The sequence below is a fragment of the Homo sapiens genome, chromosome 14 (genome assembly GCF_000001405.40).
Source record: "Homo sapiens chromosome 14, GRCh38.p14 Primary Assembly".
NCBI classification, from domain to species: domain Eukaryota; kingdom Metazoa; phylum Chordata; class Mammalia; order Primates; family Hominidae; genus Homo; species Homo sapiens.
In genome coordinates this window covers 90,323,972-90,350,632 of record NC_000014.9, presented here as the reverse complement: position 1 = coordinate 90,350,632, position 26,661 = coordinate 90,323,972, and the positions used below count along the sequence as shown (strand labels likewise).

General features: G+C 44.2%; 1 protein-coding gene across 1 annotated transcript in view, besides 4 other annotated features; it reads left to right on the top strand.

Annotated features, from left to right (window-relative positions):
* Nucleotides 18,459-18,608: a silencer, noted in NCBI's record as "silent region_6006". NCBI's record gives its function as "represses an Ori minimal core promoter by ATAC-STARR-seq in GM12878 lymphoblastoid cells {active_cell/tissue: GM12878}" and the evidence as "EXISTENCE:reporter gene assay evidence [ECO:0000049][PMID:35858748]".
* Nucleotides 18,692-26,661, top strand: part of NRDE2 (NRDE-2, necessary for RNA interference, domain containing) — a 64,082-nt gene continuing 56,112 nt past the window's right edge. Inside the window, exon 1 of the mRNA NM_017970.4 lies at nt 18,692-18,792. Coding sequence (NP_060440.2) covers nt 18,729-18,792 — 64 coding nt within the window. The 5' untranslated portion in view covers nt 18,692-18,728. The remainder of the gene's footprint in view (nt 18,793-26,661) is intronic.
* Nucleotides 18,759-18,938: an enhancer, noted in NCBI's record as "active region_8875". NCBI's record gives its function as "activates an Ori minimal core promoter by ATAC-STARR-seq in GM12878 lymphoblastoid cells {active_cell/tissue: GM12878}" and the evidence as "EXISTENCE:reporter gene assay evidence [ECO:0000049][PMID:35858748]".
* Nucleotides 23,755-24,254: an enhancer, noted in NCBI's record as "H3K4me1 hESC enhancer chr14:90792723-90793222 (GRCh37/hg19 assembly coordinates)". NCBI's record gives its function as "activates a minimal SCP1, AML or CMV promoter by ChIP-STARR-seq in naive H9 embryonic stem cells {active_cell/tissue: H9 hESC(naive)}" and the evidence as "EXISTENCE:reporter gene assay evidence [ECO:0000049][PMID:30033119]".
* Nucleotides 24,255-24,756: an enhancer, noted in NCBI's record as "H3K4me1 hESC enhancer chr14:90792221-90792722 (GRCh37/hg19 assembly coordinates)". NCBI's record gives its function as "activates a minimal SCP1, AML or CMV promoter by ChIP-STARR-seq in naive H9 embryonic stem cells {active_cell/tissue: H9 hESC(naive)}" and the evidence as "EXISTENCE:reporter gene assay evidence [ECO:0000049][PMID:30033119]".

Sequence of the window (26,661 nt, the reverse complement as noted above, 5' to 3'; positions counted from 1 at the left end):
TGCAAGCTCTGCCTCCCGGGTCCACACCATTCTCCTGCCTCAGCCTCCCGAGTAGCTAGGACTACATGCTCAGCTAATTTTTTTGTATTTTTAGTAGAAATGGGGTTTCATCGTGTTAGCCAGGATGGTCTCGATCTCCTGACCTTGTATCCGCCCGCCTGGGCCTCCCAAAGTGCTAGGATTACAGGTGTGAGCCACTGCGTCTGGCCTTTTTTTGTATTTTTAGTAGAGAGGGGGTTTCACCATGTTGACCAGGCTGGTCTTGAACCCCTGACGTCAAGTGATCCGCCCGCCTCGGCCTCCCAAAGTGCTGGGATTACAGGTGTGAGCCACCGCGCCCAGCTGATTTTAATAATACTAGTATTATGTGATGATGGCATGGATTAAAATGGCAGATCATTTTGATCCTTTTGGAGGAGGAGAGAGCCACGAGCTCCTTGAGAATAGCATGAAAGCGATGGGTCTTCTCCCCAGAAAAATATGCATACGTGTACTAAGTAATTTGGGGAGGTTCATGAGTCCTGGTGGGTAAGAAAATAAATGAATTTGAGATCCCCAAAGGAAAGAGGTATATTTGCACAGGGCAACTGATGGAAATCAATAGGGAAACTTGGAAGAGGAAGTAGTTTGGGAAAGAATTTAACAAGTTTATTTTCATGCAACAGGACGTGTGACGGGAGCTGTGCTTTTGGCAGCATGTTGGGGGGCGGGGGGCAGAGATCTGAGTCATTTGGTTAAATCGCAGTTTCCATTTTGAGAATGAATGAGCTCTCTGAATTAACACAAAAGCAGAAAGCAGTCAAGTATTTTCCAAAATAAATAATAGGGGCAATATTTGTGCAGGTAATATTCATAGAAGAGTTTGGGATCACTGTCATTAAAACCATACAAAAAAATAGACACCAGGTGAATTCCTAAGTAAATTATTCCACTAATATTCATTATAAAGCTTACAAATTCAGTTGTAAGAGTCAAGATCAGAATAGAAGCAGATAATTTAAAATTATAGTTATAATAAGCTTGGCTGGACACAGTGGCTCACATCTGTAATCCTAGCACTTTGGGAGGCTGAAGTGGGCGGATCACTTGAGCCTAGGAGTTCGAGACCAGCCTGGCCAACATGGTGAAAACTTGTCTCCACAAAAAATACAAAAATTAGCCAGGCATGGTGGCACATGCCTGTAATCCCAGCTACTCAGGCTGAGGCACAAGAATTGCTTGAACTTGGGAGGCGGAAGCTGCAGTGAGCTGAGATCGCACCACTGCACTCCAGCCTGGGTGACAGAGTGAAACCCTGTCTCAAAAATAAAAATAAAAAAAATAAAATTATAGTTATAATAAGCTGAAGATGAACAGACATGTCAAGATCTCTGAACTTTTCAAAATCACTTTCCAGAACCTCTTTGCTGCATGGAGGCAGTGTGAGTCGAAGTCGAAATAGCACGTCTCTTTGCTGTTCTAGATTCTCTGCCTAAATCACTCCCTTGACAGCTGGAGCATCAGTGTCTATTGACCCTGTAACCTGTACTCAGATGGGAACTCTTTGGTAACTGCTCTCCTAAGAGAGGTAAGGGAAAACAATATGGTTAGTTTCCAAAATATCTGGGGCTGTCGTCCACCTTGTTCAAGAAATCGTAACTCTGACATTTGGATTTGGGGAATTCATCAGTTCTGACTGGGAGCAAAGTGACACACCTATTCCAGACACTGAGATGGGAGGTCTCTCTGAATCTTCCCTCAGTCTCCCTCCCAGGCCGTTGCCACCTTCCCGAAGGGTCTGGTGGTCTGGTGGTCCTTGGACAGGCCACGTAGAACACTGCATGGGTCCAGGCTGGGACTGACCATGCCATATGAACCCCAGATATGAATGCTAGTCATGACTCTCAGAACCTACACCCTCTGTTCACTATATATAACCTACACTTATCTGAAGAACCCGGAAAGTAGACACGTTAGAATGCATTATTTTGGTATTTCTGGGCAGAGAGGTTTATTTGCTAAAATAACTTTCTGTGTCAGTTTCAGAGGCCAAAAGCAATCTTTACTTCCCAAGGGCTACATAGCCTTTGGAACCCATTAGGATGGTTATGGCATAATAGGCCTAAAAGACTGTCACTCTCCAGAACTTGCAAAAACTGGAATTATTTTATTTTATTTATTTATTCATTTTATTTTTTTATTTTAATTTATTTTATTTATTTATTTATTTTATACTCACTCTGCTGCCCAGGCTAGTGACACAGTCATAGCTTACTGCAGCCTCGAACTCCTGGCCTCAAGGAATGCCTCGTCTTTGACCTCCCAAAGTCTGTCATTTGTTTATTTATGTATGAAGAGTCTTGCTCTGTCACCCAGTCTGGAGTGCAGTGGTGCGATCTCAGCTCACTGCAACCTCCGCCTCCCGGTTCGAGCGATTCTCCTGCCTCCGCCTCCTGAGTAGCTGGGATTACAGGCTTGCGCCACCATGCCCAGCTAATTTTTCTATTTTTTGGTAAAGACGGGGTTTCACCATGTTGGCCAGGCTGGTCTCCAATTCCTGACTTCAAGTGATCTGCCCACCTTGGCCTCCCAAAGTGCTGGGATTACAGGTGTGAGCCACCATGCCCAGCCATATGCATATCTGATTGCCTCCTTTGAAACGGCTAATCAGAAACTCAAAAGAATGCAGCCATTTGTGTCTCACCTATCTGTGACCTGGAAGCTCCCTCCCTGTTTCCTGCCTTTGCTTCATGTTGTTCTGCCTTTCCAGATGGAGCCAATATACTTCTTACATATACTGATTGATATCTCGTGTCTCCCTAAAATGTATAAAGCCAAGTAGGCCGGGCGCGGTGGCTCCCCAGCACTTTGGGAGGCCGAGGCGGGCGGATCACGAGGTCAGGAGATTGAGACCATCCTGGCTAACACGGTGAAACCCCGTCTCTACTAAAAATACAAAAAATTAGCCGGGCATGGTGGTGGGCGCCTGTAGTCCCAGCTACTCAGGAGGCTGAGGCAGGAGAATGGTGTGAACCCGGGAGGCGGAGCTTGCAGTGAGCCGAGACTGAGCCACTGCACTCCAGCCTGGGTGACAGAGCGAGACTCCATCTCAAAAAGAAAAAAAAAAAAAGCCAAGCTGTGTCCCGACCACCTTGGGCACATGTCATCAGGACTTCCCAAGGCTGTGTCACAGGCGCATCCTCAACCTTGACAAAATAAACTTTCTAAATTAACTGAGACCTGTCTCAGATTTCCTGGGTCCACAACAGTAAGACTTGAAGCCAAAGATTTTTCTCCTTGGCCCCAAAAAAGCAAATGATCCAAACCTGCCTTGGTTCTGCTCAGCTGGAGGAACCAGGGTCAGCTGGGTGGGAACCTGTCCTGAGTGAGGAGTTCCTGGAGGATCTTACACAGGCCTCATCAAAGGGAGAGGTTTAAGTCAAGGAGGACGCAGGGAAGGAGCTCAAGCCTCAAACTCCCAGGCTCAAGCCATCCTCCCACCTCAGCCTCCTGAGTAGTTGGGACTTTTAAATTCTTTGTAGAGAAGGGGGTTTCACTCCCATTTCTGAGCATGCTGTTTTCAATGTGGACTTCATGAGCAAGAAAATTCATCTGACTGAGAATGGGATAAGGGCAGATATACAATAATCTACCTGGTTCATTAAACTCACGCAAGTTGGAGATTTATCCGGGTTTCTAGGAATACTACTACTCTCATTGTGTCTACTGATTGGCTATCAGAACCTTAGGCTGGACTTAAATAGATTGGTTTCATTTCTAACCATCCAATTCTGCATGTAATCATAATTCTACCCTAAGTCATCTTTGATTTCTGGACCTAATAAATTTTTTCCCCTTATTAAAAAAAAAAAGCCAGGTGTGTTGGCTCATGCCTGTAATCCCAGCACTTTGGGAGGCTGAGGCACGAGGATAACCTGAGGCCAGGAGTTCAAGATCAGTCTGGCCAACATGGTGAAACCCCGTCTCTACTAAAAATACAAAAATGAGCTGGGTGTGGTGGCGGGCACCTGTAATCCCAGTACTCAGGAGGCTGAGGCAGGAGAATTGCTTGAACCTGGGAGGCAAAGGTTGCAGTGAGCTGAGATAGTGCCACTCCACTCCAGCCTGGGCAACAAGAGCGAAACTCCGTCTCAAAAAAAAAAAAAAAAAAGAAAGACAAGTGGGTTATGTTGCCCAGGCTGGTCTTGAACCCCTGGGCTCAAGCTAAAATGCTGGGTTTGCCTCTCTAATCACTGGGATTAAAGGTATGAGTCGCCACACCTGTCCTGAAACACTTTCCTTTCAAGTGGCACATTTTTTTCCTTTTGTTTTTTATTGGCACATTTTAAATACCTGTAGGTCTAGGACCACCAGGCAGAGTGGGCTGAACAGACTGGAAGAAACCTTCAGTCCAGGGACTACTTGGAATCCCTGTGGCTGTGTGTTTACCACAGTCAGGCCAGCAGGGCTTGCAGGTGCTGAATTTGGACTCCCACTGAGCCCATTTGCGGCTTCTGTCACCTTGCCAACGGCTCCTCCTCGCTCCCCACTGCTCTAGTAGTGATTCTGGAAGCAGCCCAATGAGGCCTCCTCTAACCTTTCTTTGCCTCAGCCTCACCTCCCTGTGAGTTTTACAGCAGGGACCATGTTCCAGTGGCATGCCCCTCCTGGTAATGACACAGGGTTTCCAGGAGATTAAAACCTCCCCCAGGGGCATGTCATCTCGGTGTTATATGCTCTCAACCCCTAGAGCCCAGGACAGTGCTAGGAATCTTGTCAGGGCTATATAAAATAAATAGGAGGGCCGGGTGTGGTGGCTCACGCCTGTAATCCCAGCACTTTGGGAGGCTGAGGCGGGTGGATCATGAGGTCAGGAGTTCGAGACCATCCTGCTGAACACGGTGAAACCTCATCTCTATTAAAAATACAAAAAAATTAGCCAGGTATGGTGGCAGGCGCCTGTAGTCCCAGCTATACAGGAGGCTGAGGCAAGAGAATGGCGTGAACCCAGGAGGCGGAGCTTGCAATGAGCTGAGATGGCTCCAATGCACTCCAGCCAGGGCGACAGAGGGAGACTCCATCTCCAATAAATAAATGAATAAATAAATAAAATAAATAGGAAAAGAAATCAAATGCATGGACACATTGAGGTATTGGTGCATAGCATAGCAATCACTGCTGGCACTTTGAAAGGTTTGTAGGATGATATGACACAATGTCAGTCCTGTCAAAATCTCAGCTTCCTCTTGCTAATACACTGGATCCTAGAGATTCTTGCTTTTGAGCTGTGTGGATAAGGATGGCTTGCTATGACTTGTACAGTGACTCAAAGGCAGAAGACCAGGATTTCCCATGCATTCTGGTTGTGAAAGGTTCACTTCTGGAAGGTTATTCACAAGCTCACAAACATGGAAACCAATGTTGCTGGCTGGCACATGAGAGATACTAATTTAGTCTTTTGTCTTTATTACGTGATCCCATTTAAAAGAAAATCTCCCCAGCACTGTTTATCTGCTTTCTCAGAGTCTCATGCTGTGATGCATAAAGTTTACAGTAATTGAAAAAGTAACGACTAACACCCAAGGTGGTAAATAAATCACCAAGTTCACTAATTCAAAGCACTGAACATCCATTTGTAGAACACTACAGCACGATGTAAAATAACATTACCCCACAGCATAAAAACGGGAAAGTGGGAATTAATTTTCTTTTAATTTTTAATGCACTTTGGCTGATAAAGATATTAAACATTAACAAAATTTAACATATACGCTGGCATTTATTAAACCACTGACTTGCAAGCAAAATAAGCGACATGTATTTTTAAAGCATTAAAGATTCCCTGCTGATAATTAGCTTGAAGGTCAAGGAGGAAACCATTATCAGCATATTCTGCAGAATCCCCTGTAGATTATACAGCCCATATGCTGAGGGAATGTGAAAAGTTGCAATCAGCTGCTTGATACTCCTGAGAGATGTTGAAAGACATTATGCTCTCACTAGTTCTGATGAATCCGTTAGCTAAACATTTGAGGATAGTGAAAAATAAGGGGGTGAATTTCCATCCTCGATGCCACCTTTCAGTCTAACATGGAAAGATCTGTGTCTTCTGCTTAAGCCAATCAAGCTGCATTGTGGAGGTTCTGTCCATGACATAAGCATCTCTAATGAGGCAGGATGGAGAACTGCACTAGGAATGTTGCTTCGTCTAAATGACTGTCACCACCATGCAACATTTCATTGCTGAGGTCTTTGAATTTAAGGGCCCTGACTTGAATTTTGATTCTTTCTATACAAAAACGCCTTCAAAATAAGAAGCAAATAGGGATGATTTTTCACTAAGGGAAAGCGATGTCATGCCTGGGACTGAATTAGTTGGTAAACCAATCAGGTACAATACCAATATGTGCTGATGTAGTGAGTTTTTGTCCCTAGTTATAAAAGTAGATTTATCTGCAGAATTCCATTTGGCTGGAATACACAAAACCCCTCTGTCCTTAGAACTAACTCATGATAGTGGTTGCTTTGGGGGAGACAGTGGATGGAAGTGTGTTCAGGTTTGGGGAGGGGTACAAAGGGACTTCGATTTTATCTATAATATTTTATGTATTTTATTTAAATTGGAGTTTCTCAGTCTCAGCACTATTGACATTTGAGGCCAGATAATTCTTTGTGGTTGGGGCAGTCCTGGGCATTGTAGGATGTTCAGCAGCATCCCGGGCCTCTCCCCTCTAGATGCCAATAGCACCCCAAATTGTGACAACCAAAAGTATCTCCAGCCTTTGCCAAATGTCCCCTGGGAAATAAAATTGTTCCCCCCACACTGCCCCCACTCCCCCCCACACCGCCCCCACTCCCCCCCACAGCGCCCCCACTCCCCCCACACCGCCCCCACTCCCCTCCACACCGCCCCCACTCCCCCCCACACCGCCCCCACTCCCCCCCACACCAACCCCCACTACCCCCCCACACCGCCCCCCACTACCCCCCCACAGCGCCCCCACTACCCCCACAGCGTCCCCACTACCCCCCACGCCGCCCCCACTCCCCCCCACGCCGCCCCCACTCCCCCCCACGCCGCCCCCACTCCCCCCCACAGCACCCCCACTCCCCACACCATCATGTTGAGAGCCATTGATTTAAATAAAAAGCAAATAAGCACAAATAGAACAAGTGAAGAAAATGTTAGCATGTGCTAAATTGGGGGTGGGAGAGAGCACTCTATCATTTATTTTATTATTATTATTATTTATTAATTTATTTTTTGAGAGAGGGTCTTACTCTGTCACCCAGGCTGGAGTGCAGTGGTGTGATCTTGGCTCACTGCAACCTCAAACCTCCCCGGCTCAATCCTCCCAAGTAGCTGGGACCACAGGGGTGCACCACCACACCTGGGTAATTTTTGTATTTTTTGTAGAGACAGAGTTTTGCCTCATTGCCCAAACTGGTCTCGAACTCCTGGACTCAAGTGATCTGCCCACCTTGTCCTCCCAAAGTGCTGGGATTATAGGCATGAGCCACTGCATCTGGCCTGTTTTATTATTTTGTATCTTTAAATTCTTCCCAAAAACTCAAAAGGAAAACGTATCTTTAAAACACCCAAATCCAAGCTGGGCACGGTGGCTCACGCCTGTAATTCCAGCACTTTGGGAGGCCGAGGCGGGTAGATCATGAGGTCAGGAGATCAAGACCATCCTGGCCAACATGGTGAAACCCTGTCTCTACTAAAATACAAAAAAAAAAAAAAAAATTAGCCAGGCGTGGTGGCGCATGCCTGTAGTCCTGGCTACTTGGGAGACTGAGGCAGGGGAATTGCTTGAACCTGGGAGGCAGAGGTTGCAGTGAGCTGAGATGTACCACCGCACTCCAGCCTGGCAACAGAGCGACACTCTGTCTCAAAAACAAAACAAAACACAAAAACAAAAACAAAAAAACCCAAATCCTTTAGCTCACCAATAATCTAAAGCGATATGTTGCCAATAAACTGCTGTGTTCCTCCTGTCCCACGCCAGGCTGGTCACATGCAGAACTAACCCCTGGGGGTGCTGCTCTTTCATCTGCCTCTGCACACACGTATTTCACAGAGATGTTTGTAATTCACTCTCTTAAACACACTGTTGTCCTAAAAGTTAACTCAAAAAGAACAGTCTCACTCCTGATCACTGTATGTTGGCCTGGTTTATTGATCATCCTGATTCCTAGCCATCTGCAACACACCCCCCTTCATATTCTACCCTGTCTAATCCATTCTTTATACTGCTGCAGATTGGTTTTTCTGACACAAGTATTTGATATTTCCTCACTTAAAACGTCTCAAAATAAGGTGTATGCATTATGAAATACTGCAATGCAACTCTTTTTTTTTTTTTTTTTTTTGAGACGGACTCTCCATCTGTTGCCCAGGCTGGAGTGCAGTGGCCTGATCTTGGCTCACTGCCACCTCCGCCTCCTGGGTTCAAGTAATTCCCCTGCCTCAGCCTCACTAGTAGCTGGGATTACAGGCGTGTGCCACCAAGCCTGGCTAATTTTTGTATTTTTAGTAGAGACAGGGTTTCGCCATGTTGGCCAGGCTGGTCCAAACTCCTGATCTCAAGGGATCCACCCAACTCAGCCTCCCAAAGTGACGGGATTACAGGCTTGAGCCACCGAGCCCGGCCGGCAATGCAGTTCTTATGTGAGGCACCCAGAGTAAGCACAGACTCCACAGATTCAAGGGCGTAGTTCCCAACTAGACCACCCTGACTTCAGATGCCAGCTGCAGGTTCCAGAGGTCCTCAGGCCACCTACTCTTTCTTTTTTCTTCTCCCTTCCTTCTCTCCCTCCCTCCCTTCCTTCCTTCCTTCTTTTTCTTTCTCTCTCTCTCTCTCTTTTCTTTTTTTTTTTTTTTGGCAGGGTCTTGCTCTGTCACCCAGGCTGGAGTGCAGTGGCACAATCTCAGCTCACTGCAGCCTCGACCTCCTGGGCTCTTCCTGATCATCACCTCACCCTCCCAAGTAGCTGGGACTACAAGCATGTGCCATGACATGTGGCTAATTTTTGGTATTTTTTGTAGAGATGGGGTTTCACCATGTTTCTTAGGCTGGTCTTGAACTCTTCTGAGCTCAAGAGATCCTCCCGCCTCAAACTCCCAAAGTGCTGAGATTACAAGTGTGAGCCACCACACCCAGTGGCTCAAGTGGCAATAAATTTGGCAGTTTCCATGACACCCTCGGGTTCCATAATTCCCTAGAATGACTTGTTGAACTCAGGAGAGTGCTATATTTACTATTACAGTTTTATTATAAAGGATACAAATCAGGGCTGGGCGCGGTGGCTCATGCCTGTAATCCTAACACTTTGGGAGGCCAAGGCAGGTGGATCACTTGAGGCCAGGAGTTCGAGACCAACATGGTGAAACCCCCATCTCTACTAAAAATACAAACAATAGCCGGGCATAGTGGCACACAGTTGTAATCCCAGCTACTTGAGGCTGAGGCACAAGAATCCCTTGAGCCTGGGAGGCAGAGGTTGCAGTGAGCAGAGATTGTGTCACTGCACTCCATCCTGGGCAACAGAGAGAGACTCTGCCCGAAAAAAAAAAAAAAAAAAAAGATATCGATCAAGACCAGCAAAATGACAGTTCTGAGAGGGTCCTGAATGTGGAATTTCTGTGCCCTCTGAGAATCAGGATGCATGCTGATGTGTTTACCGACCAGGAAGCTTGCTCAGCCTGTGTCTAGAGTTTTACTGGGGTTCCATGACATAGGAATGATGGACTGAATTGTTGGCTCATTATTAAATATGATCAAATTCAGTCTCTAGCTACCTTCACTCCCTGGAGGTGGGGCTGGCTAGAAGCCCCACCTCTCTAATCACAGAGTTGGTCTTTCCAGGCATCCCCCATCTGAGTCATCTTGTTAGCATAAACTCAGGTGTAGTCTGGGGCGCACCATGAATAACAAAGTCACTCCTATCCTATCACTGGGGAAATTCCAAAGATTTAGAGTTTAACACCCGGAAAGAACCATTATTATTATTATTATTATTATTATTATTATTATTATTATTATTATTTTGAGACAGAGTCTCGCTCTGTCGCCCAGGCTGGAGTGCAGTGGCGCGATCTCGGCTCACTGTAACCTCCGCCTCCTGGGTTCATGCCATTCTCCTGCCTCAGCCTCCCGAGTAGCTGGGACTACAGGTGCCCGCCACCACGCCCGGCTAATTTTTTGTATTTTTAGTAGAGATGGGGTTTCACCGTGTTAGCCAGGATGGTCTCGATCTCCTGACCTCGTAATTTCCCCCGCCTTAGCCTCCCAAAGTGCTGGGATTACAGGCGTGAGCCACCACACCCAGCCGAACCAGGGACAAATTATTAAACAACCTATGACATCAGATTTCTTCACGTCCTGATCCCAGACAGTCTTCGCAGTCTCCCCAGCCTCTCCCATTACATTGCAGCCAGAGAACCCTTGAGGATCCTTGAACACACCTTGCTGTTTCATAACCTGGGACTTCTGCACATGCTGTTTTCTCTGCCTATGTTTGTTTTCTCCTTTGTCTGTCCCAGGAACTACTTCTCATTTGTAAGACCCAGGTAAGTAGCTCCATCTCCTTGGAGCCTTCCAAAGGGGCAGAGTTAATCTCCACCTCCGCAGTGCTGGTAGTAATCCTTTGTTCATTTATAGATCATCTTTGCACTTAACTCTTCAGGCAGACTTGTTGGTTGAGATGCCCGTATGTACCTTTGGCACTTAGCATATGGCCTTTGCTGAATACTCATTGAGTAGAACCTTGCCTTTATTACCTGAAGTTGTATTTGTCTGGTTTTTTTTTGTTTTTTTTTTTTGTTTTTTTTTTTTTGAGATGGAGTTTCACTCTTCTTGCCCCAGGCTGGAGTGCAGTGGCATGATCTCGGCTCACTGCAACTTCCGCCTCCCGGGTTCAAGCAATTCTCCTGCCTCAGCCTCCCCAGTAGCTGGGATTACAGGCGCCTGCCACCACGCTCAGCTAATTTTTGTATTTTTAGTAGAGATGGGGTTTCACCATGTTGGTCAGGCTGGTCTCGAACTCCCAACCTCAGGTGATCCTCCTGCCTCGGCCTCCCAAAGTGCTGGGATTACAGGCGTGAGCCACCGCACCAGGCCGTATTTGTCTTTTTAGAAAGTGTCATTGTGCCCCTCTTGGTTCCTCTTTTCACACCTCATTCCTCATGCTCCAGTGAAGTGGCTGTTCATCATCACCAATGTCCCTCTTGGCTGCTGGTGGACAAGCTACAACTTAAAATTCTATGGTTGGCAGGGCATGGTGGCTCACGCCTGTAATCCCAGCACTTTGGGAGGCAGAGGTAGGTGGATCGCTTGAGGTCAGGAGTTCGAGACCAGCCTGGCCAACATGGTGAAACTTCATCTCTGCTAAAAATACAGATTAGCCAGGCATGATGGTGGGTGTCTCTAATCCCAGCTACTTGGGAGGCTGAGGGAAGAGAATCACTTAAACCTGGGAAGCAGAAGTTGCAGTGAGTCAAGATCATGCCACTTCACTTCAGCCTGGGTGACAGAGCAAGACTCCATCCCAAAAAATAAAATAAAATCAAATCCTATGATTGACAATCCTGACCAGCCAGTTCACAGTTTAGAGAACTCATAGATAATATTGATGAGATGACATAAGAGGTGAGGTTTGCTAAATATCTAGCTACAGGGAGTCGTTAAGTATGTTGTAATTCCATCTATTGAATGAAATATTACACATCCTTTCAATGCCATTCCTCATTGAAAGGAATGGCAAAAACCGCACTTACTTTTGCACCAACCTAATACTACATGTTTATGAGGTTTGTAATAAAACAGAAAGGCTTTTGTATAACATGAAGAGAAAGAGCAATCACAACTATGATGAAACAAATTATCCATAATCTAAGACACAGGAAAAACCTAAAAGAAAGAAAGACCTGTAATCCCAACTACTCAGGAGGCTGAAGCAGGAGGATCGCTTGAACCCAGGGGTTTGAGGCTGCAATGCACTATGATCGTACCATGACACTCCAGCTTGGGCAACACAGCAAGAATCCATCTCTAAAAAAAAACAAAACAAAGCCTGGGCAACAAAATGAGACCCCATCTCTATAAAAAATTAAAAAATTAGCTGGCGTGATGATGTGCGCCTGTGGTCCCAGCTACACAGGAGTCTGAGGAAGGAAGATCCCTTGAGCCTAGGAGGTTGAGGCTACAGTGAGCCGTGATCTCACCATTGCTTTCCAGCCTGGGAGACAGAGGGAGACCTGTCTGAATAATAAAAAATAATAATAAAATAAAATATAAAAACAAACTCCAAAATAATATTTGTCTTTGGGTAATGGAAACATGGGTGATCATTCCCCATCTTTTTTATACTTTCATGTATTGAAAACTTTTCTTGTATCATGCTTAAAATGGTAGGAGAGAATAGTTCCTCTCTGTATTCCTAAATAAATAGGCAAAAGGTGAAAACAAATTTAATTTGGATACTTTCTCCTGTAACTGGAAATTTACAGGTGAAAAAATTCACACTTTTGCTCTTTTTGGCAATGAGAGGAGGCAATGAAGAGAGGTGCAGATGGGAATACAAGGCGGAAGACAGGAACCAGCCAATACCTCTGGCCACACTTTAAAAATGGGCACCCACAAGCCAGGAGAATTGCCAGAGAGACAAAAGTCAACAACAAAAAAGGAGATTTTAAATGGAGACTGGGACCAAACCAGTTCTTAAAATGTCATTTTTCTAGTCAAAGAAAGGCAGCCTGAACAGTGGGGATTTAACTATTTGCCTATTTTTTAATTATTTTTTTAAAAAGAGGTTTGTGTTGTTTCATTGATCTCTTTCACTATCAACATAACATAAAACCTATCACTTTCTGGAAGAGCTATAATCACAACGAAAGCTGAAAATTGTTTCAGAGCACTTTGGGAAGAGGGGCTAGTTTAAGAGTGAGCTACCCAAGAATACTGATTTAACCTTTTAAAACTCTGGTTAAAGTCACTCTTATCCAAGGCTCTTAAAAATGTCCTCACCCAGAATACACCAGCCTCCATATAGCACAGTAAACCCAAGCAGGGTTCTCTTAATGATTATTCTAGATGGCGGTATAGTTATTAAGTGTTATTGGTGTCATTCTTCTCTAATTTCTGCATAACCTTACGTATTTTAGCAGGTTCTGGAGTGCGTGAATTGTGAGTTAGGCATAAATAGGCTGGTTTAGCTATGACTGAAGATCTGTTACTTGGGATTGTGTCCACATATTGAGACATTTCCAACCTGAGACCCCCATCACCCCAAAACAAAACAAAATAAAATAAAACAGAAAAAAGATCACACCAGTGAAGTGGCTCAGGCTCTTTTATTTCCTTGCTGATATTTCTGTCCAAAGGGCACATTTTCTTTTGTTTGACTTCATAGGAACTACCAGAAAATTCCTAAAGATTGATGGAGTTGATAGACCCGTTTCTCCAGTTTTCTTGATCAGTGAGTGAGGATTCTTTCCCTCTTAAGGTGAATGAAGTTTGTTTATACATGTTCTGAGTACACCATTTTAAAAGTGTCATTTGTCATTCGAACTATTAATAATTGGAGTACCCTCAGGTTCTGAGTTTGTGACTTTGAGTGTGGAAATGGTATCATTTATTTATTCATTCACTTGTTCATTTTGTATCATTTAGGACTCTTGGTAGCAAGTGGCAGAATTTGTTTACTGAAATGTGAGATGTATTATAATGATATTGATATTGGGTTTCCTAGAACCCAAGCATAGGAATGCAGCAGAGCTCCAGGGAGAATTAGAATTAGAGTTCCAAAATCCCAGGGCCCGTCCTGTCCAGCTCACTCCTGGTTTTATCTTCTCTCTACAGGCAGTTTACTCTGCTTCTCCACCAGCTCCTGGACTATTATATCTTGCAGTCTAGACACACAAAGACAGACAACTTTTTCCTTTTCAGTTCTAGTTTCAAAATTCATGGAAAAGAACTTTGCTTGGCCTGGCTTGGGTCAGAGCTGGGTTGAGCACCTATCAACTAAGGACATGACCGAGCTGGGTCATGCACTTACCCTAACCTGTCAGATGGGGCTGGGACAGCCAGACCACATTGTACTGATAGGACTTCTTGTGGATTCAGAAAGGAGCCTGCCAGTTAAACAAAATAAAACATGTTCACTACCTATTCCTTTTTCCTTTTTTAGTTTTACTTAAAAAATGATAGAGACGAGGTTTCACTATGTTGCCCAGGCTGGTCTCGAAGTTCTTGGCTCAAGCAATCCACCTGCCTCAGCCTCCCAAAGTGCTAGGATTATAGGCATGGGCCACCATGGCTGGCCCCCTATTCCTTTTTCTATAATATCCTCTTCCAAAAGTGAGTGGGAATTATGTATGCAGTATTTTGCCAGCAAACAAGTACTGAGTACCTACCTATTTTGTATCTAGCTGCCTCTTGCCGATCCTTTTGTTCATATCATGTCTTCTGGAATAACCTAAAGGTTGTTTTCTATAGTTTTTAGCTCTCACTCATACCCACCTCTTTTCCGTTCTTTTTTTTTTTTCCTTTTCTTTTCTTTTTTTGAGACAGGGTCTTGCTTTGTTGTCCAGGCTGGAGTGCAATGGTGCGATCATGGCTCACTGCAGCCTTGATCTCCTGGGCTCAAGCAATCCCCCTGCCTCAGCCTCCCAAGTAGCTGGGATCACAGGTATGCACCACTATGCCTGGCTAATTTTTAACTTTTTCTGTAGAAACAGCATCTCACTTTGTTGCCCAGGCTGGTCTCAAACACCTCATCCTCCCACCTTGGCCTCCCAAAGTGTTGGCATTACAGGCATGAGCCACTGCACCCAGCCTCTTGTTTGTTTTTTATGGACAGACTAGCTGCCTGCTTTATTAAGATCAAAACTCTTATCCAACTCCTCTGCAACTAAAACAAAGCCTCTTTTCACATTTCTCTCCTGCAGGATTTTTGTTTTTGTTTTTGTTTTTGTTTTTCCTTTTCCTTCCTGCCATCTTCAGGGAAAAGATTCACTCATGTCAGGGTCCAGAGGCGATCAAGATCTGTGACAAATACAGGCTAATGAGAATACCCCAGAGAATGAGATAGATGCAAAACAGCAACTTAACAGTCTAGAGTGAGTTATTTCTGCCACAAAGAAGAGAGATACTTAAAAGTGGTTGAGAAATTCAGTCCCTTCCTTTAGTCAAGCTATATACAAAGCCAAATCATTATCTGAAAACATCTTTGTTTATTCTGAGAAATCCCTGCCATATGCACTGGAAATACCCAAAGCCTATAGATTGAAATAGTAATAATAATAATAATAATAAAGTGAGTTGTTTTTATTCTTTCTGCGATTGTTTTTCAATGCAGAGAAGACTACTCAAAAGTTTACTTTTAGTTGACTCTAATAATAAAAAGTTTGCATAGGTCTAGAAAATTACGGCAATAGGTCAGGTTAGCCCACTGCCAATTGGTATGACCTATGCATTAAGAATGATTTTTACGTATATAAATGTTGAAAAAATAGGCAAATAACATTTTATGACATGTGAAAATTGTATAAAATTCAAATTTCAGTGTGGTTGCGACCACATGTCTTTTTTTTTTTTAGGTGGAGTCATGCTCTGTTGCCCAGGCTGGAGTGCAGTGGCACGATCTTGGCTCACTGTAACCTCTGCCTCCCAAGTTCAAGCAATTCTCCTGCCTCAGCCTCCTGAGTAGCTGGGAGTACAGGTGCCTGCCACCACTCCCGGCTAATTTTCGTATTTTTAGTAGAGACGGGGGTTTCACTATGTTGGCTAGGCTGGTCTCAAACTCCTGACCTCAAGTGATCCACCCGCCTCAGCCTCCTAAAGTGCTGGGATTACAGGTGTGAGCCACTGCATCCAGCCAATACCATATGTTTTATGTGACTCTTTCCAGAAAAAAATTTGCAGACACAGTGTTTAAAAGATTGGCATCCAATGTATTAAAAACAAATTGAAAACCCTTGTTTGTTCTTAAGCTTTTAAGAACTTGGTCAGTTACACACCTGTGATACCCCCACCATAAACAAGAGTCAGAATATTTCCATCAAGCCCAAAACATTCTCCACACCCCTCTGTGGAATATCCCTCTCTTCGTTCCCAGAGCAAGGGAAACACCGATCCACTCTCTGTCACTATATATTAATTTGTATTTTCTAGGATTTTGTATAAAGAGAATAACACAGTAAACACTCTTTGTGCCTGGCTTTTTATACCCAGCATACCAATTTTGAGATTCATTCATGTTGTATGTATCAGTAGTTTGTTCCTATTGTTATTATTATTGTTGAACAGCCATTATTTATACTCATTCTAAGGCTTCTAACTTCTTGTCCAAAAGCTTTTTTCAACTAGGGAGGGTGAGCTTTGCTCATGGTGTCTATTTCGTGAGCTCAGAGCTGCCTCGAAATGGAATCTTCAGCCTCCCTCATGCTCCTGCAATAGGACCCCATTATTCTTATAAAGCTAACCAATTACACTTACAAATATGGCGAGCTTTAGATTCTCTTGGATATCCTGAAACTGCTTAAACCTCATTAAGATTTCAATTTACTGCCGGCCATGGTGGCTCACACCTATAATCCCAGCACTTCGGGGTGCTGAGGCAGATGGTCGAGACTGGAGTGAGCCATGATCGCACCACTGCACTCCAGCCTGGGCGAGAGAGGAGATCTTGTCTCAAAAACAAAACAAACACAAAAAGATTTTAACTTAAAACCAGGAGTCTGTATCAGTTACTTGATTATACACTTTCAGTTGTTCTTATGAGGAGGGTCTCTTGAGCAACATTCTCTTATACATTTGTAAGTACACAATATACCTAGTATACCCAGATTCCTTTGTATTACAGAAACATTATTATTATGGTTTTAATTTCTTAAAACTTCCATATTAATTCTTACTTTTCTGGGGTGGAAAGATAGGAGGCATTGGGATAGACTATTTCCATCCCAGTTACCTGAAGTGATCTGCTAAGAAAGACAAATGCTGCCCCAATTAATTGAGGTAACTTAGAGTCAAAGATTTTGGCAGAACCTGAGATTTAAAGTTGAAGACATACAGGAATTACTGCCCCTATTGTCATACTAAGCTCCTTTTTGTAAGTACTCTGCCAGGGACTTCAAAGCATTAAGGGTGTCTATTTTGGACTCATAGAACCTAATTCTTATGCAGGTCTGCAGACTTCATCAGAGTCCATCCATTCCTTGATTAGATGATTACATTTGCATCTCTGGTTTATAATGTATTTCCTAACTAAAGATCTTTAACTCCCTAGGATCCCAATAAATATATCTTCATTTACCTATCTATTTTCACTTGCAAATATTTCAGTATATATCTCTAATATATAAGAACTTTAAAAAGTAATCTCAGGCTGGGTTGGGGGGTGCTCAGGCACAGGCACCCAGCACTTTGGGAGGCAGAGGGGGGCAGATCGCTTGAGCCCAGGAGTTCGAGACCAGCCTGGGCAACATGGTGAAACCCTGTCTCTATTAAAAAAAAAAAAATTAAGCCAGACATGGTGGTGTATGCCTGTGGTTCCAGCCACTTGGGAGGCTGAGGTGAGGGGATTGCTTGAATCGAGGAGTTCGAAGCTGCAGTGAGCAGAGATCGTACCACTACACTCCAGCCTGGGTGGCAGAAGGAGACCTTGTCTCAAAATAAATAAATAAGGGTCACCTCAGTGACATAAGTACTTTAGTACATCTAACAGAATTCACAAGAATTACTTGTGAATTGCTTGTACTCTGCCTACCTTCTTATTTCTCCATCTATCTTAAAAAGGTCTTTTTACAGTTTGTCCAATCAGAATTATAATGAGGCCACAAATATGTTGTATTTGCTTGATGTGTCTGTAAGATCTTCGTATCTATTACAATCTCCTGCCCTCTTAAAGCCCTTGATATGTTAAGGAAGCACGGTTGTTTTCTATAATTTCCCATATTCTAGATTTGGCTAATTGTTTCTTGGTAGTACAAAGTCTTCTAAGTTGTTCCTTTACTCTCTATATTTCTGGTAGCAAGTGTGATTAGATTTTGGGTGGGAGGAACCGGGGTCAAGAATGCTTCACAGACAGGTATTTCCTAACTATCAAAGACCCTTGAACTTGATGGGACTTTCCATTTTTCCTTGTTCTGGGGTATTTAATATGGTAACCTGATTGAAGTTCGGATATCTCACATGACTTTGAGCCGAACTTGCAGTCGTAATTCACATAATAGCTAACACATATTAAGTGCTTTTCATGGGCCGGACTCAATGCTAGGCCCTTTATAAATATGTTCATTTAATCTTCTCAATATTTTGCAGATAAGGAAAGTAATGCTTAGAGCGTTTAAGTTGACCCAGTTAGCAAGGATGGTGTGAATTTAGGGGTCGAACTGGAATCCCAATTTCCTTAGTCCCTTTCGCGGTCAACAATTCCCTTCTCCGGTTTTCGCAGTTCCGGTTCTCACAGGGTCCCAACCACTAGGAACCCGTCACTCCTCGCTCCGCCCCCCTTGGCCCCGCCCCACCCTGCTTTGCCCTGCCTCTCCCTGCCCCGCCGCGCCCCAGTCCCTTGACGACCCTCCTCTCTGGGCCCCGCCCCTCCCGCTTCGGGGTCAAGCCCCAGAGAGCGCCGCGAAAACCACATTTCCCAGAGTGCACCGCGACGGCAGGGGTCCTCAGACCGGCGCTCGCTCGCCGGCGCCATCCCTATAGAGAAGAACGGAGGTACGGCCTGTGGTCATGGCGCTGTTCCCAGCCTTTGCGGGGCTTAGTGAGGCTCCCGATGGCGGGAGCTCCAGGAAAGGTAAGCACACAAACGAGCCGAAGAAGGCACCTGGGGGGCTTAAGAGGCTGTTTCTCGGGCCCAGGTCTAGACTTTTGCTTTGGATTTGTGTATCCATTTGTATCCCAGAGTTCTCCGCGGCGCTGCAAAGCCTTCTGGGAAAGGCTCAATCCCTCCGAGGTCTGGGGCCCAGAGGCCTGTTCTGGACCAAGGTTGTAGAGTTATGGAGGGGTGGAGAAAGACCAGCAGATGCCCTGGAGCTGGGACTTCTGTACGATGTTGTTAGGTCCTGTTCTTCTTTTCGAGCCTCAGTTACTTCATCTTTAAATTGGGAATAATGATACTCGACATCTCGAGGAAACCCTTGATGCAAATGCAGAATGTTTTTATTACATATTACTTCCTTTCCTGTTATACTTATTTCTGAAATGCTTATTAGATTGGTATTACTTAGCGGCCTAGAGCTAGGGGATTAGTATCCAAAACCTAATCAGTTTCTCTCTGGAGGGGCACAGCACCCAGTGAAAATAACTAACATTTATTCTTGAGGGCCTAGTGTGTATCAGGTTATGGCTTTACACATTTTACTTAAGTCCCAGACATTTCCAGCAGAGCTGCATTGTTCAAAATTGGGGTACATAGTTCATTTAAGAAGTAATTAATCCTGGCCAGGAGCAGTGGCCCACACCTGTAGGTGGAAGGATAGTTTGAGCCCGGGAGTTCATGACCATCATGATCAACATAGCGAGACTCCTGTCTCTTAAAAAAAAAGCCAGGCGTGGTGGTGCACACCTATAGTATCAGCTCCTCAGGAGGCTGAGGTAGGAGGATTGCTTGAGCCCAGAAGTTTGAGGCCGCAGTGAGCCATGATCGTGCCGCTGCATCCTGCCCTGGGGTGGGGGGACCTTGTCTCTAAAAAAAAAAGAAAAAAAAGTAATTCTAAATTATGTGCCATATGTGACAGGGCGCAATTGAGTCTTACCTGTCTGTTATATCCTCTAATATAGTTCCTACACTTTCTGTAACGTTTCTCCTAATTTTTTTTTTTTTTTTTGAGACAGGGTCTCACTCTGTTGCCCAGGCTGGAGTACAGTGGCACTGTCATAACTCACTGCCGCCTCAGACTCCTGGGCTTAACTTCCTGCCTCAGCCTCATGAATAGCTGGAACTACTGGTGTGCACCACCAGGCCTGGCTAATTTTTTTTAATATTTAGTAGAGACGAGGTCTCACTGTGTTGACCAGGCTGGTCTCGAACTCCTGAGCTCAAGCGATTCTCTATCTGAGCCTCCCAAAGTTCTAGGATTACAGGCATGAGCCACTGCGCTTGTCCTATTTCTCATAATTGTGAGTAATTTCTTGTGTAAAATTGTTGTCTTCCCTTACTAGACTGTAATCTCTATCAGGTTGGGCAGTGTTTGTCTATTCATTGTAGCATAGTTAGCCCCTAGCACAGGTCCAAAGTATAATAGGTGTTCAATAAATATTTTCTGGATGTACAGATCGATAGTAGTTACTTAATAATTACGTGTTGCAGGAATGCATGAGTGCACCTAAAAGAAGTGTATAGTACAAGGTGGGATATTACAGATACCATAGGTGAACTGCAGGATTAATTACTTCTTTTTATTTATTTATTTATTTATTTTTTTTTTTGAGACCAAGTCTTGCTCTGTCGCCCAAGCTGGAGTGTAATTGTACGATCTTGGCTCACTGCAGCCTTCGCCTCCTGGGTTCAAGTGATTCTCCTGCCTCAGCCTCCCGAGTAGCTGGGACTACAGGCACTCACCACCATGCCCGGCTAATTTTTGTATTGTTAGTAGAGATGGGGTTTCACTGTTTTGGCCAGGCTGGTCTCGAACTCCTAACTTTAAGTGATTCGCCCACCATAGCCTCCCAAAGTGCTGGGATTACAGTTGTGAGCCACCACACCCAGCCCAGGAATAATTACTTCTAATAGAAGGTTCAAAGAAGGCTTTATGTAGGAACTAATATTTTTTTCTTTTACTTTTTTTTTTTTTTTTTTTGAGGCAGTCTCACTCTGTCACCCAGGCTGGAGTGCAGTGGCACAATCTCAGCTCACTGCAACCTCCGCCTCCTGGCTTCAAGTGATTCTTGTGCCTCAGTCTCCCGAGTAGCTTGGATTACAGGCATGCACCACCACACCTGGCTAATTTTTTGTATTTTTAGTAGAAATGGGGTTTCACCATGTTGGCCAGGCTGGTCTTGAACTCCTGAGCTTAGATAATCCGCCCACCTCGGCCTCCCAAAGTGCTGGGATTACAGGTGTGAGCCAACGTACCCAGCCTACTTTTTTTTTTCTTAAGTAGGGACAGGGTCTTGCTATGTTGCCCAGGCTGATCTCAGACTGCTGGGCTCAAGTGATCCTCCTGCCTCAGCCTCCCAAAGTTCTGGAATTACAGGCGTGAGCCACTGTGCCTAGCCAGGAGCTAAGTTTTGGATGGATCTTCAAGAGAGTAGGATTTGGACAAATAAAATGGGGGAAGTGTATACCAGGGCCTTCAAGTCCTGCAGAAGAAAAGTGTGAGAACTGCAAATCATCTAGTTTGTCTGGAGGTGTAGTGGCATAAAGAGGAGCCTTGGGAAATATGGTTGGGCTGGTGGTGATGGAGGATAGTGATCTTTAATAACATGTCAAAGCTTTATCCTTTTATTTTGAGAGGGGGAAATCGAACTTTTGCAGAGGAGTCTTACTCTTAAATAGTATTTATTTGACATCCTCTGGATATCTACAATCAGGAAAATGTGTGTAAAAGTATGTTTTATAAAGTATTGTCTTTTGAAAAAATATAAACACAGCATCATCTCTTGTAATGGAAAAAAGCCTTAATTCTTTTCTGGTCATTTTCACTTACCAGTCAGTGTTCAAATTTCACGAGATGTTTCAAAAATGGGATTTTACAGTTGGATTGTCCAAGTCAATTTCCAAAATACAGCCAACATTGCATTTTGTGGATATATGCCTTAGGTCTCTTTCAGTATAAATCGGTTTCTTCCTCTCCTTCATTCCATGTGATCGATCTGTTGAGGAAACCGTGTCATTTGTCCTGTAAATGTTTCCCACCAAATCCTCATAGTGTCACTTAACATGCTTCTGTATTCCAGTATTTCCTGTAAACTGGTATTTACCTCTAGTCAATTAATTAGATTGAGATTTAATCTTTTTGTTGAAAGTACCTCATTGGGGGAGCAATGCACTTGCTATGGAATCATTTCAGGAGGATGCCCTGTCTAACGTTCTCTGTTTTAGTGATGTTAAGATTGACCAGTGGATTCATGTGTTTGCAACCTGTTTCATCCCATATGAAGCAGCCCATGAACCTTACACCTAATGATTTTTGCAGCCATTTATGATTATTGTTTAGGTTCATTATTATTTCATTGAGGTTGCAAAATGGTTGTTTTCTAATTATATCATTCCTCCTGTATTTATTAACATCAATTATTCTATGAAGAACTATTGGGATACCCTGAATACAGTTTAGTTAGGCAGGAAAGACAGGATAAATACTTTTTTCTTTTTTTTTTTTTTTTTTTGGAGACAGAGTCTAGCTGTCGCCCAGGCTGGAGTGCAGTGGTGAGATCTGGCCCACTGCAACCTCCGCCTCTTGGGTTCAAGTGATTCTCCTGCCTCAGCCTCCCTAGTAACTGGGACTACAGGCATGCGCCACCACTCCTGGCTAATTTTTTTTTTTTTTTGAGACAGAATATCTCTCTGTCGCCTAGGCTGGAGTGCAGTTGTGTGATCTTGGCTCACTGCAAGCTCCGCCTCCCGGGTTCACGCCATTTTCCTGCCTCAGCCTCCCGAGTAGCTGGGACTACAGGCGCTTGCCACCACGCCTGGCTAATTTTTTATATTTTTAGTAGATAGGGGGTTTCACCATGTTAGCCAGAGTGGTCTCAATCTCCTGACCTCATGATCCGCCCGCCTCTGCCTCCCAAAGTGCTGGGATTACAGGTGTGAGCCACTGCGCCCAGCTTACTCCTGGCTAATTTTTGTATTTTTACTAGAGACAGAGTTTCACCATGTTGGCCAGGCTAGTCTCGAACTCCTGACCTCAAGCGATCCACCTGCCTTGGCCTCCCAAAGTGCGTGAGCCACCTCGCCTAGCCTGGGATAAATACTTGATTCATTCCTTTCGTTAGTTTCAGAATAATGAGTTGGGGGTCCCAGTAACTTCTAGAGGTGACCAGTGAGGTGTGAAGTTTTTTGTTTTCATTATGAAGTCATGAATTTTTAATGTTTATATTTCAATCCATTGCAGGTAGGCTTTTTTTTTTTTTCTTTTTTTAGAAATGAGGTTTCACTCTGTCGCCCAGGTTGGAGTGTAGTGGCGCAATCACAGCTCACTACAATCTCCAATTCCTGGGATCAAGCAGTCCGCCTGTCTCAGCCTCCTGAGTAGCTAGGACTGCTAGTGTGCACCACCACACTTGGCTGATTCATTTATTTTTTTAGAGATAGAGTCTTGCTACATTGGTCAAGCTGATCTTGAACTCCTGGCCTCAAGCAGTGCTCCCGCCACGGCCTCCCAGAGTGCTGGGATTACAGGCATGAGCCATCATGCCGGGCCTGACCCAATCATCTTTATTTAATAGCTTTCTTGCTTTCTGTCCTAAGAGATGTCCAGGAATCATCACTTACATTTTCTCTTGTGGCCTGGAGTTGGCCATTTCTCCAGGGAATCCTGGTTTCTTTTAGTGGAAAATGATATGGATATATGAAAACCACACACTGGGTTGTTAGGGGTATCATCACCACTGTGTTGTCATTACTTCTAGACTTTTTCAGTGGATGGAACCAGGAAGAGAAAAATACATCATGAATTCGTATTAGTATTTCCAGTCCAAATGTAAGATTATGAAGCTTTTACTTCTTTGATTTAATTTTTAAATTTCTTTATTTGTTCAAAATAACAGTATTAATGTGACTAATACTAACAGTTTCAGATTTTTTTATGGTTCTATTTGTTTTAAGGACATGGCCCACAGTGGATATGCGGTCAATTTACTGAGTTTGAAAATCACTTGAAACAATTCCCTGTGTGGTTTTACCACCAGTTTGATATATGGTGATATAAATATTTTCCATTTTTAGGGATTGTTTTTCTTTTTAATTTGATTTTGTTTTATAATGATGTAAAATGCTTAGCCTAACGTTGAGATTGTAAACCAGGTATATTCAGAGGAGAAAAACCTTCCATCTCTGTTTCTCCAACCTGTCACTTTCCTTCCCCTGCAGACTAACATTTTCATTAGCCCATGGTATCCTCCCATTTTTTTTCCCTCCCTTCTATAAGAGCAACTACATTTTCCCTCTCTCTTTTTTTTTTTTTTTTTTGAGACAGAGTCTCGCTCTGTCGCCCAGGCCGGACTGCAGACTGCAGTGGCGCGATCTCGGCTCACTGCAAGCTCCGCTTCCCGGGTTCACGCCATTCTCCTGCCTCAGCCTCCCGAGTAGCTGGGACTACAGGCGCCCGCCACCGCGCCCGGCTAATTTTTTGTATTTTTAGTAGAGACGGGGTTTCACCTTGTTAGCCAGGATGGTCTCGATCTCCTGACCTCATGATCCACCCGCCTCGGCCTCCCAAAGTGCTGGGATTACAGGCGTGAGCCACCGCGCCCGGCCTCCCTCTCTTTCTTAAATGCATACTATTCTGCATTTTACCTTAGATCCTGGAGATCGCTCTACACTCTATAGAGATCTTCCTCATTTCTTTTTACTAGTGCACAGAACTCCATCGTGTGGCTGTCACATGCTTTATTCAACCAGTCCCCTATTAAGGACATTTGGACTCTTTCCAGTCTTTGGCTGTTATAAATAGAAGCAGTGTACTTTTTGCCTTACAGTATAAAAAATGTTATAAAAATGTAAAATAGTGTTAGCAAGAAGTGGGTGCAGAGTTTCAATTAAAAAAAACGTTAAACTCCTGGACAGGAAAGACAGCCAATACCAAAATGAGTGAGAGGGGTGCTGTTCTCCTCTTTCTGGCTACCATTAAAAGTTAGGCCAAGGGCTGGGCACAGTGGCTTACACCTGAAATCTCAGCACTTTGGGAGGCCAAGGCGGGCAGATCACATGAGCTTAGGAGTTTGAGACCAGCCTGGGCAACATGACAAAACCCTGACTCTAATAATAACAACAAAAACTAGCCAGGTGTGGTAGTGTGTTCCTGTGGTCCCAGCTACTCGGGAGGTTGAGGTGGGAGGATTGCTTGAGCCTGGGAGGTGGAGGTTGCAGTGAGCTGAGATCTCACCACTGCACTCCAGCCTGGCTGACATAGTGAGACTCCATCTCAGAACAAAAAAAAGCAAAGAGGCCAGGATTTAAGTAGGCATCACATTCAGTAAGGAGTCTGGTGGGACTATGTTTAGTAAAATTCATTCTTTCAGGAAACAAGAATAGGAGCAGCCATTGTGTCAGGAGCAGCAGAGAGTGCCCAGCATCTGACCCCTTCAGTTCTGGAGCTTTTCTTCCTACCCTCAGATTGTTGACTAGGATCGTGTACCCTAGAACATTGTTGCTTGGGAATCAAATATTTGACAGATTTGGAATGGAAGATGGTATATTAGTTTATTTAATCTTCATATTATATGAAGCAGACATATTATCCATATTTGGGGAAGAAACTAAACACATTATCTTTTTCCCCCAAACCTTTTTCTTCCCGTGTCCACAAATCAAAAAATGGCACTACCATTCACCCAAACCAAAACTTAGACACGTACCTTGACTCCCCACTTCCACCCATTCAATTCTTTAGTCCTTCCAAACAACTCTGAAAGTCCTTAGTTTCTTCATAGTCTCACTACCATTACCTAACTTTTGCCGTCATCGTCTCCTAGATTACTACAACAGCCTCCTAAAATAGCGTCCCCGCCGTTAGTCCTGCCATTGCTCCCTGAGCCACTCTCCACACTGTTGCAAGAACTTTTAAATGTCCTTATTTAAAAACACTATGTGCCATTCACTGGTTTAAATGCCTTACAAATACTAACTTATTGAATGCACGTAACAACTCTATGAAGTTAGTGCTGTTCAAATGTACGCACAGAGGGAACCAGTAAGTAACTTCTGAAGGTCACATGGTTAGTAAGTCACAGAGTCAGGATTTGAACTCACACAATTTAGCTTCAAAGTGTGTGCTCTTTTTTTTTTTTTTTTTTTGGAGACGGAGCCTTGCTCTGTCACCCAGGCTGGAGTGCAGTGGCGTCTCCACTCACTGCAACCTCTGCCTCCAGGGCTCAAACGATTCTCCTCCCTCAGCCTCCCGAGTAGCTGGGATTACAGGTGTGCGCCACCACACCTGGCTAATTTTTGTATTTCTAGTAGAGATGGGGTTTCACCATGTTGGCCAGGCTAGTCTCAAACTCCTGACCTCAAGTGATCCGCCCACCTCGGCCTCCCAAAGTGCTGGGATTGCAGGCATGAGCCACCCCGCCCGGCCTAAAATGTGTGTTCTTAAACGCTGTTCTTTGCTGCTCATCTTTCAAATAGTATATCTGATTTTGTCACTCTCATTCAAAACATGACCATCTGCCCATTGCTCTTAGGGTAATGCCAAGCTCTCAAACATGTTTTTTAAGGCCCTACCTCTCCTGCTTCATTTTGCCCCCATTTCCCCTCAGTCCCAATGGCCAAGCCACAATCGCTTCTCCTATTTCTCACTGTCTATTTCCCAAACACTTTCTAGGAGCATATTTCCTTCACTCCTCCTCCTTTAGATCTTAGCTGAGAGATTTTCTCAGTTAGCTTTCTCTGATCCAGACCTTGTTTGAATTAGAGAGCGTGCTGTCATTATTCCCTATTTTCTCTCTCTTTGCATTTGTCACGTTGCATAGAAGTGACTGCTAGTAGGGCAGCTCCATG